The sequence below is a fragment of the Homo sapiens genome, chromosome 7 (genome assembly GCF_000001405.40).
Source record: "Homo sapiens chromosome 7, GRCh38.p14 Primary Assembly".
Classification (NCBI taxonomy): Eukaryota; Metazoa; Chordata; class Mammalia; order Primates; family Hominidae; genus Homo; species Homo sapiens.
In genome coordinates, this window is record NC_000007.14 from 66,995,800 (window position 1) to 67,011,349 (window position 15,550).

Sequence of the window (15,550 nt, forward strand, 5' to 3'; positions counted from 1 at the left end):
CACCACCTCGTTCCGCGGAATTCAAGGGCCAGACCCACTTTATAATATAAATATTTTTTATAATAGAATTATTTTATAATAAATATTTTTATTTACTCACCCTTTTATAATAGAAATATTTTAACATAAAATGTAGACAAAAAAGTGTAATGAACCTTCTATGTACCCATCACCCCGCTATCAACATTTTGCCATCCTTGTTTTATTCTTTTTTCATTTTTTTGTTGCTTTTTTATTTACAGTTTTTTTTTTAAGTCAGTCTCACTCTGTCACCCAGGCTGGAGTGCAGTGGCAGGGTCATGGCCCCACTGCAGCTTCGACCTCCTGGGTTCGAGCGATCTTCCAGCGTTAGCTTCCCAAGTAGCTGGGACTACAGGTGTGAGCGGCCACGCCAAGCTAATTTAATTAAATAAATAATTAAAAAAAATTTTTTGTACAGACGAGGTCTCACTATGTTGCTCAGGCTGGTCTCGAACTCCTGGGCTCAAGCGATCCTCCCGCTTCGGCTTCCCAAGTGCTGGGATTACAGGTTTGAGTCACAGCGCCCGGCCGGTTGGGGGTATTTTAAAGAAACCATCATATGGTTTCAGCATTAAATACTTCAGCCTATAGCCCTTAACAGATACACGCGACGAGATTAACTACAATTCCTTAATATCATCTAATAGCGAGTCCATCCTCGGGTTTCCCAAAAATAATGCCTTTCTACAGTCGGTTTATTTCAGTTAAGATCCAAACAGGCCCACATAGCATTTCCCCCGCTCCCCGCTCCTTTCCTCTTTTAATTTTCCCATGCCAATCATTTCTCTCTGGGCCCGCCTTTTCCCAGTCTGAGCCAATCCAAATGGAGGCGGAAGCGCTCCGCCTTCATCGCCTGGAACTCTGGGAGGTGCTTATTTCTGGGCACGCCCCCTTTCCCCTCTGAGCCAATCGGAGCAGGGCCGAGAGCGCACCGGGCACTGGCTTCCTTTCCCGGAGCTCTGGGCTTTCCTCTGGGCCCACCTCTTCGTCCTCTGAACCAATCAGGACCGGCCTGGCAGTGTCATGGCTGCCCACAGGTCTGCAGGCACTCGGTACGCCGCTAACGCGGCGAGGTAGCTCGGTGCGTCTCGCGGTACCAGTGCGAATCATCGGGCTATCCAGGTCCGAGATCCTAGTCTCCTGTCGGCTCTGAGGAGGATGGGTAAGGGCACTCGGCGGGCAAGGACCCTGGGGCGGCAGGGGAGGTAAACGTTTTACTGAGACCCTCTCCGGGCGGAGTGGCGTCCTCGGTCCCTTTCCTTCGGAGACTGTTGCACTTGACAGCACCGGCTAGTCGCCGCTGAGAGCAAGGAGGACTGATCCCTACTTTTGACCTGGCTTTTGCCTTTTGAGGCTAGGGGGTTAGACAGAAAACTACCCCTCCCACTTTACCTACGTGTATTAGGACTTTTGCACCTGTAAAGCCTAAATTTCAGGCCTCGACTTTTGAAATTGCTCCCAGGTTGAACGTTTGAAGCCAGGTCCCTGCATATCTCTCTTAAAAAAAAAAAAATGAGGTGTAAGGTCAGTTACTTGAGAATCTTTTACAAGTTTAACCGTGAGCCTTTGAAAGTACAGTTAGTAAAAAGAGTGCTTTTACTACTTAAGCTTTTTTTATGGAGCAAGCACAACAAAACAAAATTAATTTCACATGAAGTATTTTTACTTTGTGTTCCTTCTCTTGCTTCTAAATGCTCATTTCGAAGTGAAGATACAATTTTATATTCTGTTTTTTCTTTGAGTTAGTGTTAACAGTGTGATAATTTTATTACGTTACTACATAGTGTGTTATTTTTATTACAGTTGTTCCCCACCCCCCCGCCCCCGAGATGGAGCCTTGCTCTGTCGCCCAGGCTGGAGTGCGGTGGCGCAATCTTGGCTCACTGCAACTTCTCCCTCCCAGGTTCAAACAGTTCTCCTGCCTCAGCCCCCCGAGTAGCTGGGATTACAGGTGCGCGCCACCACGCCCGGCTAATTTTTGTATTTTTAGTAGAGGCGGGGTTTCACCATGTTGGCCAGGCTGGTCTCGAACTCCTGACCTCAGGTGATCTGCCCGCCTCAGCCACCCAAAGTGCTGGAATTACAGGCATGAGCCATCGTGCCCGGCCAACAGTTGATTTTTAAATTAGATTTCTTAGCTGGGTTGTTGAATGTAAGGTTGGTTTTATTTTCTTCTTAAAATTGGGATGGATATCTTTGTATATGTAGCTTTAAATGAAATTGTGTGTGTCATTTTAAATTTAGATCCTTCTGCGGATACATGGGACCTCTTCTCACCTTTAATATCATTATGGATAAACAGGTTTTACATTTATTTGGGCTTTGCTGTTAGCATTAGCCTTTGGATTTGTGTCCAGATTGTCATCAAGACGCAGGTAAGTGGAGTTATTTTTTTTTTAATGGAGTATTTAGGCATCAGATTTTATAGAGGATTTAAATACTAAAAGGAACCTTTAATTACTTTTGTGTTTGGTCTTTAGACATTTTAATGAAATGCCTAAAATAAATTTCTTCTCTAAGTTTTTGGAGACTAAGTTATCTTGGATTAAGTTCTTTACTTTTTCTTTGATAGGTGTGTCTCATTTTTAAGATACAGGAAGATTTTTGTAATGAAAAGTGAACCTTTTATATGAAAAACAAATTTGTTTTATACCTTTAAGGGTCAGTAGTCCTCTCTTTCCATTAATTAAGGATCAGAAAATAAGTTCCTACTATTATTCTACTAAAATACCTTATAGGATAAAAGTATGTAAAGTTTTTTCTTGGAGGGAAAGGAAATCATGAGCCTTAAAAATGTGGGTCCTGCCTATTAAAGGACCTTATTATACCAAGGGGCTAATATTTGAGGAATACAACCAGAAAGATTAAGAGAAAAATACAGTGTGTCAGATTAAGAGAAAAATAAAATGTGTCAGTATCTGTGCTAATTTTCATCCCTGCTGAAGTTGGGAAACGATTTAGACTTGATGGATTTTGTGTAATTATTTGTCTTCAAGGGCAAGAACTTACAGGAAAAATCTGTTCCAAAAGCAGCTCAGGATTTGATGACAAATGGTTATGTCTCCCTTCAAGAGAAAGACATCTTTGTGTCTGGAGTGAAGATTTTTTATGGTTCTCAGACTGGAACAGCGAAGGTAAGAAATTTATATGATGCTTTTCCTTTGGTTTCCTGACATTTTAAGAAAATCCCTTTAGCAGTGAACTTTAGCAGTGAACTGTCCTTTAGCAGTGAACTGAATTGGTCATCTAACCTTCTTTATTCTTTCTCCCAGCCTTTTCCCCTCAAATATTTTTCCATTCTGTGACGGTAGGCAGGTTTCATCTCCTGTGCCCAGTTAGAGCTGATTGGTGGTGTCTGATGGTCAGTGTCTTGAGGGGGCCTTTGTTCTGAAGTTTGCTTCTGCCTCAGCAGGCTAGAGAAAGTTGTGAGTCCATTATCGATGCCCATGGGTATGGAAGTAGGGAATAGGGAAAAAAGGATGGCACTAATAGTTCCAATATGGGCCTGACTTTCACATCACACATCTATGTTTATTTTTTATTTTGTTTTTTGAGACAGAGTCTCACTCTGTCACCCAGGCTGGAGTGCAGTGGCACGATCTCGGCTCACTGCAACCTCCACCTCCACCTCAAGCGATTCTCCTGCCTCAGCCTCCCGAGTAGCTGGGATTATAGGTGCCTGCTACCATGCCTGGCTAATTTTTGTATTTTTAGTAGAGATGGGTGTTTTGCCATGTTGGCTAGGCTGCTCTCAAACTCCTGGGCTCAGGTGATCCGCTTGCCTCGGCCTCCCAAAGTGCTGGGATTACAGGCGTGAGCCACTGCACCTGGCCTCACGTCACACATCTATGTAATGAAACTTGTTTTGATTTCTAATAGTGCTAAAAGTGTTAAAGGTAGACACTAAAGTAAATACAGCTGATATCTAGTTGAAAGATGCTTCCCATTCTCTCTCTTTTTTGCGGGGGAACAGTGTCTGGCTGTAGTGCCATCTAAGCTTCAGTTGCTTATCTGTGAAATGGTAAATTGCAGATGGTAATAGTATGGTTATCTCAGGGTCACTGTGAGGATTTAGTGATATTATCTGGCATGTACTTTGATTTCTCCTTTTTGCTTTTTTTTTTCTTTTTTTAAAGACAGGGTCTCTCTCTGTTGCCCAGGCTGGAGTGCAGTTGTGCCATCTTCGCTCACTGCAACCTCTGCCTCTCGGGCTCAAGGCATCCTCCCACCTCAGCCTCCTGAGTATCTGGGACTATAGGTGCATGCCACCATACCCAGCTAATTTTTGTACTTTTTGTAGAGATGGGGTTTTGCCATGTTGCCCAGGCTGGTCTTAAACTCTTGGGCTCAAGCAATCTGCCCGCCTCGGCCTCCTAAAGTGTTGGGATTACAGTCGTGAGCCACCGTGCCCAGTCCCATTCTCTAATTATATCTAGATGCTACCTGTTTCTGTGTTACAAGGTCACAGCTATTTTAAAAAAATTTATTTTATTTTTGAGATGGTATCTCACTCTGTCCCCCAGCCTGGAGTGCAGTGGTGTGATCTCGGCTCACCACAACCTCTGCCTCCTGGGTTCGAGCAATTCTCCTGCCTCAGCCTCCCTAGTAGCTGGGATTACAGGTGCCTGCCATCACATCTAGTTAATTTTTGTATTTTTAGTAGAGACGAGGTTTCACCATATTGGTCACACTGCTCTCAAACTCCTGACCTCAGATGAGCCACCCGCCTCAGCCTCCTAAAGTGCTGGGATTACAGGCGTGAGGCACCGCTCCCAGCCAAAAAATTTATTTAATTTTTTTGTAGAGACAAGATCTTGCAATCTTGTCCAGGCTGGTCTTGAATTCCTGGCTTCAAGATATTCACCCACCTTGGCCCTCAAAGTGCTGAGATGATAGGCATGAGCCACGAGGCCTAGCCAGGTCACAGCTAGTTAGTGCTTTCTAGGAAAAGATTTTAAGGAAGGCTAGCATGAAAATAAATTAGAGGAAAAATCAAGGTCTGTTACTTTTGTGGACTACTTCAGAGGGTTCTACTGCCCTCTTGTGGAAGTTGCGCAGAATAGTACTTCTTAGGTTTTCACTACTTGAGTGCAGATACTTTGCTTCATTTTACAGTCGAAGGTCAGTTGTTAAGTTAAACCTTAAGCAGTGGAGGTGGGAAACCTGAAAAAAAGCAAAAAGGTGTCTGAGCAGCCAAAGCAAAGTCCTTTTAATGTTACTTATAAAAAACCTTTTTCAGAGCCTCTTTATGCATGTTTTTACCTTTTTAAAAAAAATGATCAAAAAGATCAAACGAATACTTGCAGATGGTAACAAATCCAGGTGTACAGAAAGTTCATAATGAAATGTACTCTCCAGAAACCTTTTAACTATTTCTATTTTTAGTTCCTCTGATGCTTATGCTGTGTTTCGAGATTTATCAACATTACACAAAAGTTATTGGCTCTTTATATTAATTAGTTTATACAAACAGCCCTCAAGTCTCAGTGGCTTAATGTTGCTGTCCATATCATAGTTGATTTTGGGGTAGATAGCCATCTTCCATCTTAAAGCTGCGCCATCTGAATTTATTTTTATTTATTTTATTTTATTTATTTATTTTTTATTTATTTATTTTTTTGAGATGGAGCCTCGCTGTGTCGCCAGGCTGGAGTGCAGTGGCGCGATCTCGGCTCACTGCAACCTCTGCTTCCCGGGTTCAAGCGATTCTTCTGCCTCAGCCTCCTGAGTAGCAGGGACTATAGGCGCCCACCACTATGCCCAGCTAGTTTTTGTATTTTTAGTAGAGATGGGGTTTCACCACGGTGGTCAGACTGTTCTCGAACTCCTGACCTCATGATCTGCCCACCTTGGCCTCCCAAAGTGTTGGGATTACAGGCGTGAGCCACCGCGCCCAGCCTTTATTTTTATTTTTTAAGAGACAAGGTCTTGGCCTGGCGTGGTGGCTCATGCCTGTAATCTCAGCACTTTGGGAGGCCGAGGTGGGCAGACCACTTGAGGCCAGGAGTTCGAGACCAGCCTCGGCAACAAAGCAAAACCCCATTTCTACTAAAAATACAAAAAATTAGCTGGGCGTGGTGGTGCACGTCTGTAATTCCAGCTACTTGGGAAGCTGAGGCAGAAGAATTGCTTGAATCTGGGAGGTGGAGGTTGCAGTGAGCCTAGATTGCACCACTGCACTCCAGCCTGGGCAGCAGAGTGAGAACCTGTCTCAAACAAAAAAAAAAAAGGAAAGAAGAAAAAAAGAGATAGGGTCTTGCTCTGTTACCCAAGCTGGAGTGCAGTGGCATGATTTTAGTTCACTGCAGCCTCGACCTCTTGGGCTCCAGCGATTCTCCTGACCCACCCTCCTGGGTAGATGGGAATATGGGCTTGTGCCACCATGCTGGGCTAATTAAAAAAATTTTTTTTGTAGAGATGGGGTCTCCTTATGTTGCCCAGGCTGGTCTTGACTCCTGGCCTCAAGAGATCCTTCTGTCTAGGATTACAGGCATGAACCACTATGCCCAGCCCATCTCAATATTGGGCTAGGATTACAGGTGTGAGCCACTGTGCCCAGCCCATCTCAATATTTCTTCATTCTGCTGTTGGATTTGATTGATTCATATTTGGTCGTGTGTAGAAGACTATTAAAAACTTTTGCCTCAGAAGGCGTAGCTTCATTGTCTTCCAGCATGTTAGTATTGCTAATGAGAAAGCGAATTTGTAGATGACTTGATTATTTTGTTTCTGGAAGATTTTCGGATCATTTCTTTGTCCTTGATTTCTGGAAATTTTATGGGAAGGTGACTATTTGGATCTTTTTCAGCTATTGTTCTGTATACTTGAATTTTTTTTGTTTTGACGATTTGTATGCATTTTGACGATTTGTGTGCATTAGTTCTGTTAATATTTCTTGGATGAATTTTTTTTTCCCCTTTTCATTTCTTTTTTTCTGGGATTCCTGTGGGATGTTCTACCTTTTGGATCGTCTTCTGTGTCTCAGATCTTTTCTCTTATATTTTTTGTAACTTTTTCTTTTTCTTTTTCTTTTTTCTTTTTTTTTTTTTTTGAGACAGGGTCTTACTCTGTCACCCAGGCTGGAGTGCAGTGGCATTGGCCTCCCAAAGTGCTGGGATTTTTGTATTTTTAGTGGAGACGGGGTTTCTGCATGTTGGCCAGGCTGGTCTCAAACTCCTAGCCTCAAGTGATTCACCCGCCTCGGCCACTGAAAGTGTTAGGATTACAGGCTTGAGCCACGCGCCTGGCCCTAAATTTCTGTTTCTAATCTTAACTGTTTCTCTCAACTCCAGACTTTCATATCGAGTTACCTATCTTAGAGCATCATATGAATGTCTAGTAAGCATCTTAACATCAGTGTGCTCAAAACTGAACTCCCAATTTTCTGCCCAAGCCTGCTCTACTTGTAATCCTTACAATTTCAGTAAATGACAACTTTATCCTTCCAATTGCTTGGTCCAAAACACCTTTTGACTTCTTTTTATACAACCCATGTCCAGTCTGTCAGCAGATTCTGTTTGTTCTACTTTAAGAATAGATTCAGTTTCCAATCACTTCTTACCACCTTCACTGCTACTCCCCTGGTCCATGCCATTGTCAACCTAAATACCATAGAGAGGCTCTCCAAAAGAAAAGATGTTTGTTTGGGAATAGCACGTACATTGCAATGGGGATACAATTGCCATAGTAAACTGCATGTATTCAGGGAAGTAAAGGAAGGCAAAGATTTGTAAGGGAAAAAATGAGGATTACAGAATTGTTTTGAAATAATTATTCTTGCCTACAAAGGTTAATAACAAAGGTGACACAATCCAAGGTTGGACATGAAGTTGCTGGGCAGATGTCCTTGCAGTAGTATTTTTTGTGTAAGGTTGCACTGGTCTTTGTGCAAGGTTGTATTTTTTGTAGAATCTTTCTCATTGTCAGGAATTTGAGTGTGAGGCCAGGTGTGGTGGCTCATGCCTGTAATCCCAGCAGTTTAGGAGGCTGAGGCAGGTGGGTCACTTGAGGTCAGGAGTTTGAGATTAGCCTGGCCAACATGGCAAAACCCCATTTGTACTAAAAAATACAAAAATTAGCCTGGTGTGGTGGCACATGCCTGTAATCCCAGCTACACGGGAGGCTAAGGCATGAGAATCACTTGAACCCGGGAGGCAGAGGTTGCAGTGAGCCAAGATGGCGCCACTGCACTCCAGTCTGGGGGACAGAGTGAAACCTTGTCTCAAAAAAAACAAAAAACAAAAAACAAAAAAAACAATCTAAGTGTGCGAATTCTTTGTCTTCCCTAGCTCTTATTGTCAGGGATATTTTAACATAAGTAACTCCATGTTGTTGATTCTGACAGCTTTGACACTGCCATGATATTTTGTCTGGATTAGGACAGTCATCTCACCATTGATTTCTGCTATAATTTGTTGTTTGTTCCCCCAAAACTGATGTTGAAATTTGATCCCTCGTGTTGGTGATGGGCCTAATGGGAGGTGTTTGGGTCCTGGGGGCAGATCCCTCCTGAATAGATGAATCCCTGGGGGAGGGGTGAGTGAGTTCTTGCTGTCTTAGTTCCCAAGAGAGCTTGTTGGTAAGAAGAGCCTGGAACCTCTCCTGCACTCTTGTTTCCTCTCTTGCTATGTGATCTTTGTGCTCGCCAGCTCCCTTTCACTTCTACTCTGCCAGGAGTAGAAGCAGCCTGGAGCCCTCACCAGATGTAGTTGTCCAATCTTGAACTTTTTCAGATATCAGAATTGTGAACCAAATAAACCTTTTTATGGTGGCCCATAACAATTTTTCCTTTACATAGTTAGCACTTCCTTAAGGACCTCTTGTAAGGCAGGTCTGGTTGTAATAAATTCCCTTAGCATTTGTTTGCCTGAAAGGATCTTGTTTCTCCTTCGCTTATGAAGCTTAATTTGGCTGGATATGAAATTCTTGGTTGAAATTTCTTGTTTTCTTTTTTGAGACAGAGTCTTTCTCTGTCACCCAGGCTGGAGTGCAGTGGTGCGATCTCAGCTCACTGCAACCTTTGCCTCCCGAGTTCAAGTGATTCTCCTGCCTCAGCCTCCCGAGTAGCTGGGACTACAGGTGTGCGCCACCACATCTGGCTGATTTTTGCATTTTTAGTAGAGATGGGGTTTCACCATGTTGGTCAGGCTGGTCTCCAACTCCTGACCTCAGGTGATCCACCCATCTTGGCCTCCCAAAGTGCTGGGATTACAGATGTGAGCCACCATGCCCTGCTTGAAATTTCTTTTCTTTAAGAATGCTCAATATAGGCCCCAATCTCTTCTGGATTGTAGGGTTTCTGCTGAAAGGTCCACTGTTACCCTGATGGGATTCCCTATGTAGCTGACCTGCCCCTTCTCTCTAGCTGCCTTTAACATTTTTTCTTTCATTTCGACTGGAGAATCTGATGATTTTGTGTCTTGGGGATGGCCATCTTACGTAATATCTCACTGGGGTTCTCTGCATTAAATAAACCTTTTTAAAACATAGATTGGGCTAGGCACAGTGGCTCACGCCTATAATCCCAGCACTTTGGGAGGCCAAGGCAGGTGGATCACTTGAGACCAGGAGTTTGAGACCAACCTGTGCAACATGGCAAAACTCTATCTCTACAAAAAATTCAAAAATTAGCCAGGCATGGTGGCATGTGCCTGTAGTCCTAGCTACTTGGGCGGCTGAGGTGGGACGATTGCTTGAGCCCAGGAGGTCAAGGCTGCAGTAAGCCGTGACTGTGCCACTGCACTTCAGCCTGGGTGACAGAGTGAGACCTTGTCTCAAAAAAATAAAAGACATAGATTACCCAGTCTCAGGTACTCCTTTATAGCAAAATGGACTAAGACAGTGTTTCTGATTCAGTACCACTTGGCCCTCTTCTGACTCCAGTGTACTCTCAACTCAGCAACCTCAGTGACTGTTTGAAAACTTAGGTGAAGTCACGTCATCCCTCTGCTTAAAACCCTGCACTGACCCCTTCATTCAAGAGTCAATGCTTGAGTCCTCACAGTGGCCCAGAGATCCTACACGTGTGGCTCTTTGTTAACTCTCTTACCCCATCTCCTTGGTTTCTTTTTTTTCAGTCTTAGTAACCTCCTCTGGGCCTTTGCAGTTCACTGTTCCTGCCGCCTGGGATAACCTCATGGTTCTCCCAGTTCCTTTGGCTTTGGCTCAAATCTCACTTTATCCTTGTGTTAGTCTGTTTTGCATTGCCATAAAGGAATACCTGCAGCTGGGTAATTGATATGGTTTGGATCTGTGTCCCCACCAAATCTTACGTCGGATCGTAGTCCCATTGTTGGAGGTGGGGCTTGGCGGGAGGTGCTTAGATCTTGAGGGCAGATTTTGCATGAGAGGTTTAGCACCATCTCCCTTGTACTGTCCTCGTGACAGTGAGTTCTCATGAGATCTGGCTGTTTAAAAGTGTGTGGCACTGCCTCCTTCTCTCTCTTGTTCCTGCCATGTCATGTGCCTGCCCCTCCTTTGCCTTCCACCAATATTGGAAGCTCCCTGAGGCCTCCTCAGAAGCAGATGCCGTTACACTTCCTGTACAGTCTGCAGAACTGTGAGCCAATTAAATGTCTTTTTTTTATAAATTGCCCAATCTCAGGTATTTCTTTTTTCCTTTTTTTTTTTTTTTTTTTGAGATGGAGTCTCACCCAGTTGCCCAGGCTGGAGTGCAGTGGCGTGATCTCGGCTCACTGCGGCCTCTGCCTCCCAGGCTCAAGCGATCCTTCCACCTCAGCCTCCCAAGTAGCTGGACCACAGGTATATGCCACCATGCCCAGCTAATTTTTTGTATTTTTGGTAGAGATGGGGTTTCACCATGTTGCCCAGGCTGGTCTCGATCTCCTGACCTCAAGTGATCCGCCCGCCTTGACCTCCCAAAGAGCTGGGATTACAGGCATGAGCCACCATGCCCGGCCAGGTATTTTTTTTATAGCAATGCAAGAATGGACTAATACTGTAATTTATAAAGAAAAGAGGTTTATTTGGTTCATGGTTCTGCAGGCTCTACAAGCATGGTGCCAACATCCACTTGGCTTCTGGTGAAGCTTCAGGAAGCTTCCACCCATGGAGGAATAGGTACCACATGGTGAGAGAGGGAGCAAAACAGTAGGGAGAGATGTGAGGCTTTTTTTTTTTTTTTTTTTTTTTTTTTTTAACAGCCATCTATGAACTAATAGGGCAAGAACTCAACACCAAGGGGAGGGCGGCAAGCTGAGGTAGGAAAGTAGAGTCTGGAGACAGAGCCTAAGGCCAACCTGTGGCTGACGTCCTTGAATTAAACTGAAAGGAAAGCTTTAGCCTCTGATGGGCTGTGGGCTAATTCTTTATTTGCATATGGTATAACTCCACTGCAGCCTCTGATTGGCCATGAGCCAATTCTTCATTTATATAGGGTGTAACCAATTGGAAGCCTCCCAAGGATACCTGGGGGTGTTACCAAATTCTTCTAGCTTAATAAAAACCTAAGCTTAATAAAAACAACTGGAGCTCTTGAGCCACTTGCTCAAGCCTGCTTCCTGACTGTAGAGTGTACCTTCCCATCAATAAATCTGTGTTTTTGTTGCTTCGCTTGTTGCATTTTTTTCAGTTCTTTGTTGAACATGTGAACAACCTGGACAACTCCTAGGCAAGACCCTCCACTGGTAACAAAGCCACTCCTGAGGGACCCACCCCCATGACCCAAACACCTCCTATTCGAGCTCACTTCCAACATTGGAGATTACGTGTTAATGATATTTGGAGGGGACGAATATCCAAACCGTATCAGTCCTTGAGGCCTGCTGCAGTACTGTTTTCTGACCCCCAAATACCTTTTCTCTTTTTTTTTGAGATGGAGTCTCGCTCTGTCGTCCAGGCTGGAGTGCAGTGTGGCACGATCTCGGCTCACTGCAACCTCTGCCTCCTGGATTCAAGCAGTTCTCCTCCCTCAGCCTCCCAAGTAGCTGGGATTACAGGTGCCCACCACCACTCCTGGCTAATTTTTGTATTTTTAGTAGAGATGGGGTTTCACCATGTTGGTCTGGCTGGTCTTGAACTCCTGACCTCAGGTGATCTGTCCGCCTCGGCTTCCCAAAGTGTTGGGATTACAGGTGTGAGCCACCACGCCTGGCCAACCTGTCCTTTTTCTATACCAGTTCTCATGCTTACTATTGGGAGTTATCATTAGCCCACAAGACTGCCCCCACTTCAGACACCAGTCACAAGTCCCGGCTTTAAATTTAGGGTTCTGCACCACTGCCTCCTCAGGTTCTATAGGATGACTCACAGACCTCAGGAAGTTGCTTGACTTATGTTTAGTGGTTTATCATAAAGGATGCAACTCAGGAACGGCCGAATGGAAGAGCTGCACAGGGCCAGCTATGGAGGGGTGGGGGTTGAGCAGGGCTTCCAGGCCGTTTCTGGCCGTGTCTTCTCCCCAGCACATTGGTATGTTCACCAAGTCAACAGTCTCCATTGTTCAGGGGTTTTTCTTGGAGGCTCCATTACATAGGCACGATTGATTAAATCATTGGCCTTGGTGATTAAACTCAATCTCCAGCCCCTCTTCTCTCCCTAGTGTTCCCTGTTGGGGCTGGGGTAGGAGGTGCTGAGTTTAACTTCTCATCAGTTTCTCTGGCAACGAGCCTCCATCCTGAAGCTATCTGAGGCCTCACTCCAGTAAGCCATCTCATTAGCGTACAAAAGATATTCATTCCATCTTTTGTTGTAGTGGCTGCTCCCAGCCTAGAGCTTCTCTGGGGTTCTGTTAGCCCTGTGAACTCTTCCCTAGGACTTTTTCCTGTCTGTCAACCGGCTTCTTTTCATGTTTCCCATTCTTTTCACTCTTCACTCTTTCTTTTATTTTATTTATTTATTTATTTTGGAGATGGAGTTTTGTTGCCCAGACTGGAGTGCAATGGTGCAATCTTGGCTCACTGCAACCTCCGCCTCCTGGATTCAAGTGATTCTCCTGCCTCAGCCTCCCGGGTAGCTGGGATTATAGGTGTGTGCCACCACGCTTGGCTAATTTTGTATTTTTAGTAGAGACGGGGTTTTACCATGTTGGTCAGGCTGGTCTCGCATTCCTGACCTCAAGTGATCCAACTGCATCGGCCTCCCAAGGTACTGGGATTACAGGTGTGAGCCACTGTGCCCAGCCCATTCTTCACTATTTCTTTTTGCACTTCTCTGTGTTTATTGTTTTTTAATATGTTATTTTCTTTATGAGACAGGATCTGAGTCTGTGGCCCAGGCTAGAGTGCATTGGTGTGATCGTAGCTCACTGTATCCTCTAACCCCTGGGCTCGGGGGATCTTCCCGTCTCAGCCTCTTGAGTAGCTGGGACTATAGGTGTGTGCCATCACACCTGGCTAATTTTTAAATTTTTTTATAACGATGAGGTCTCACTTTGTTGTCCAGGCTTGGCCTCAAGTGATCCTCCCACCTCAGCCTCCCAAAGTGCTGGGATTATAGGCATAAGCCATCTTGCCTGGCTGATATGTTTACTCTAGTAGGGCAAGGCAGATTGATCATCCAAAGCCAAATTAGATTCAGTCCTATGTAAACCCTGATCGGGTGAGAACAACACAAATGAATGATCTCTGTAATGGTGCCCAAGAAAATGGTAAGAGTGAGGATAGAATTTGTGTTCATGAAGATACATATCAGTCACTGAAAATATTTTTCATGAGGAATGCCACATTCTTGTGCCAACAGGGGTAATGAGGGTTATATTTGGCTCATTGAAGACTTTATTTGATGTTTTTTTTGGTCCTATTAGGGATTCGCAACAGTTCTTGCTGAAGCAGTTACATCCCTGGATCTGCCTGTGGCCATTATTAATCTAAAAGAATATGATCCAGATGATCATCTGATAGAAGAGGTTGGTAATTGTCTTTTTCTTCAGTCAAAACTCTCAAATTTAACTGATCTGCAATCTTCACAGTAAATTTAATTAGATAACTAGAATCTTCAGAATAAATTTAATTTTCGTGCTAAGGGATTTCAGTTAGTTGAATTCCAGTGTGAATCAGAGAATTGAATGTGGGGTAAGGTTCACTGATTCTCACGTGGTGTGGGGCTTGTTCTTCAGGCATGTTAAATTCTCCTGGGGCAGGGCTAGAGGTGAGAAAGCTTGGGTGGTTGGAAGTTCACTCCTTCCCACAATTTTCTTTTTTCTTTTCTTTTTTTTTTTTTTTGAGATGGAGTCTCACTATGTCACCCAGGCTGGAGTGCAGTGGTGCAATCTCAGTTCAGTGCAATGTCCGTCTCCAGGTTCAAGTGATTCTCCTGCCTCAGCCTCCCAAGTAGCTGGGATTTACAGGCATGCACCACCATGCCCAGCTAATTTTTTTTGTGTGTGTCTGTGTTTTTTGCTAGAGATGAGGTTTCACCATGTTGGCCAGGCTGGTCTGAAACTCCTGGCCTCAAGTGATCTGCCCGCCTTGGCCTCCCAAAGTGCTGGGATTACAGGCATGGGCCACTGTGCCTGGCCCCTACTATTTTTATTTTTTTAAAATTTATTTTATAGAGACAGGCTCTCACTCTCTCACCCAGGCTCTGGAGTACAGTGGTGCAATTTCAACCTCCCGGGCTCAAGTGATCCTCCTTCCTCAGCCTCCTAAAGTAGCTGAGACTACAGGCATGTGCTGCCATGCCCTGCTAATTTTAAAAGATTTTTTTTTTTTTTTTGACATGGAGTCTCGCTCTGTCACCCAGGCTGGAGTGTAGTGGCGCGATCTCAGCTCACTGCAAGCTCCGCCTCCCGGGTTCACGCCATTCTCCTGCCTCAGCCTCCCGAGTAGGTGGGACTACAGGCGCCCGCCGCCACACCCGACAAATTTTTTGTATTTTTAGTAGAGATGGGGTTTCACCGTGTTCGCCAGGATGGTCTCAATCTCCTGACCTTGTGATCCGCCTGCCTCGGCCTCCCAAAGTGCTAGGATTACAGACGTGAGTCACCGCGCCTGGCCAAAAGATTTTTTATAGAGATACGGTCTCACTATATTGCCCAGGTGGGTCTCGAACTCCTGGCCTCAGTCTCCCAAAGTACTAGGATTATAGATATGCCCAGCCCTCCCCGCTATTTTGAATCTCTTAATTAAGGAAGGGTTGTTATTGATGGCAGTGTGCTATACTTGTAGACCATGGGCAATCCAACCAAAAGGTCAAAAGCAGAGAGTATGGGTTTCGGAATCAGAGAAATCTCTTATTAGCTGTGTGACCTCAATGCATTAGTTAATGTCTTTTTTTTTAATGGAGTTTCGCTCTTGTTGCCCAGGCTGGAGTGCAGTGGTATGATCTTGGCTCACTGCAACCTCCAACTCCAGGGTTCAAGTGATTCTCCTACCTCAGCCTCCTGAGTAGCTGGGATTACAGGTGCCCACCACCATGCCTGGCTAATTTTTGTATTTTTAGTAGAGATGGGGTTTCACTGTGTTGGCCAGGCTGGTGTTGAACTCCTGACATCAGGTGATTTATTTGCCTCGGCCTCCCATAGTGCTGGGTTCACAGGCATGAGCCACTGCGCCCAGGCGCATTACTTAAT

The 15,550-nt window shown here is 44.7% G+C and overlaps 1 protein-coding gene across 6 annotated transcripts in view, besides 1 other annotated feature; it reads left to right on the forward strand.

The window, feature by feature from the left end:
• Positions 785-904: a silencer, noted in NCBI's record as "silent region_18219". NCBI's record gives its function as "represses an Ori minimal core promoter by ATAC-STARR-seq in GM12878 lymphoblastoid cells {active_cell/tissue: GM12878}" and the evidence as "EXISTENCE:reporter gene assay evidence [ECO:0000049][PMID:35858748]".
• Positions 1,034-15,550, forward strand: part of TYW1 (tRNA-yW synthesizing protein 1 homolog) — a 242,682-nt gene continuing 228,165 nt past the window's right edge. For all 6 annotated transcript variants that reach the window (NR_134540.2, NM_018264.4, XM_017012392.3 and 3 more), the window contains exons 1-4: positions 1,034-1,183; positions 2,266-2,396; positions 3,018-3,155; positions 13,784-13,885. Coding sequence is in view for 5 of the 6 variants with exons in the window: in NM_018264.4 (NP_060734.2) it covers positions 1,180-1,183; positions 2,266-2,396; positions 3,018-3,155; positions 13,784-13,885 (375 nt within the window). In the remaining variant the exon portion in view is untranslated. The remainder of the gene's footprint in view (positions 1,184-2,265; positions 2,397-3,017; positions 3,156-13,783; positions 13,886-15,550) is intronic.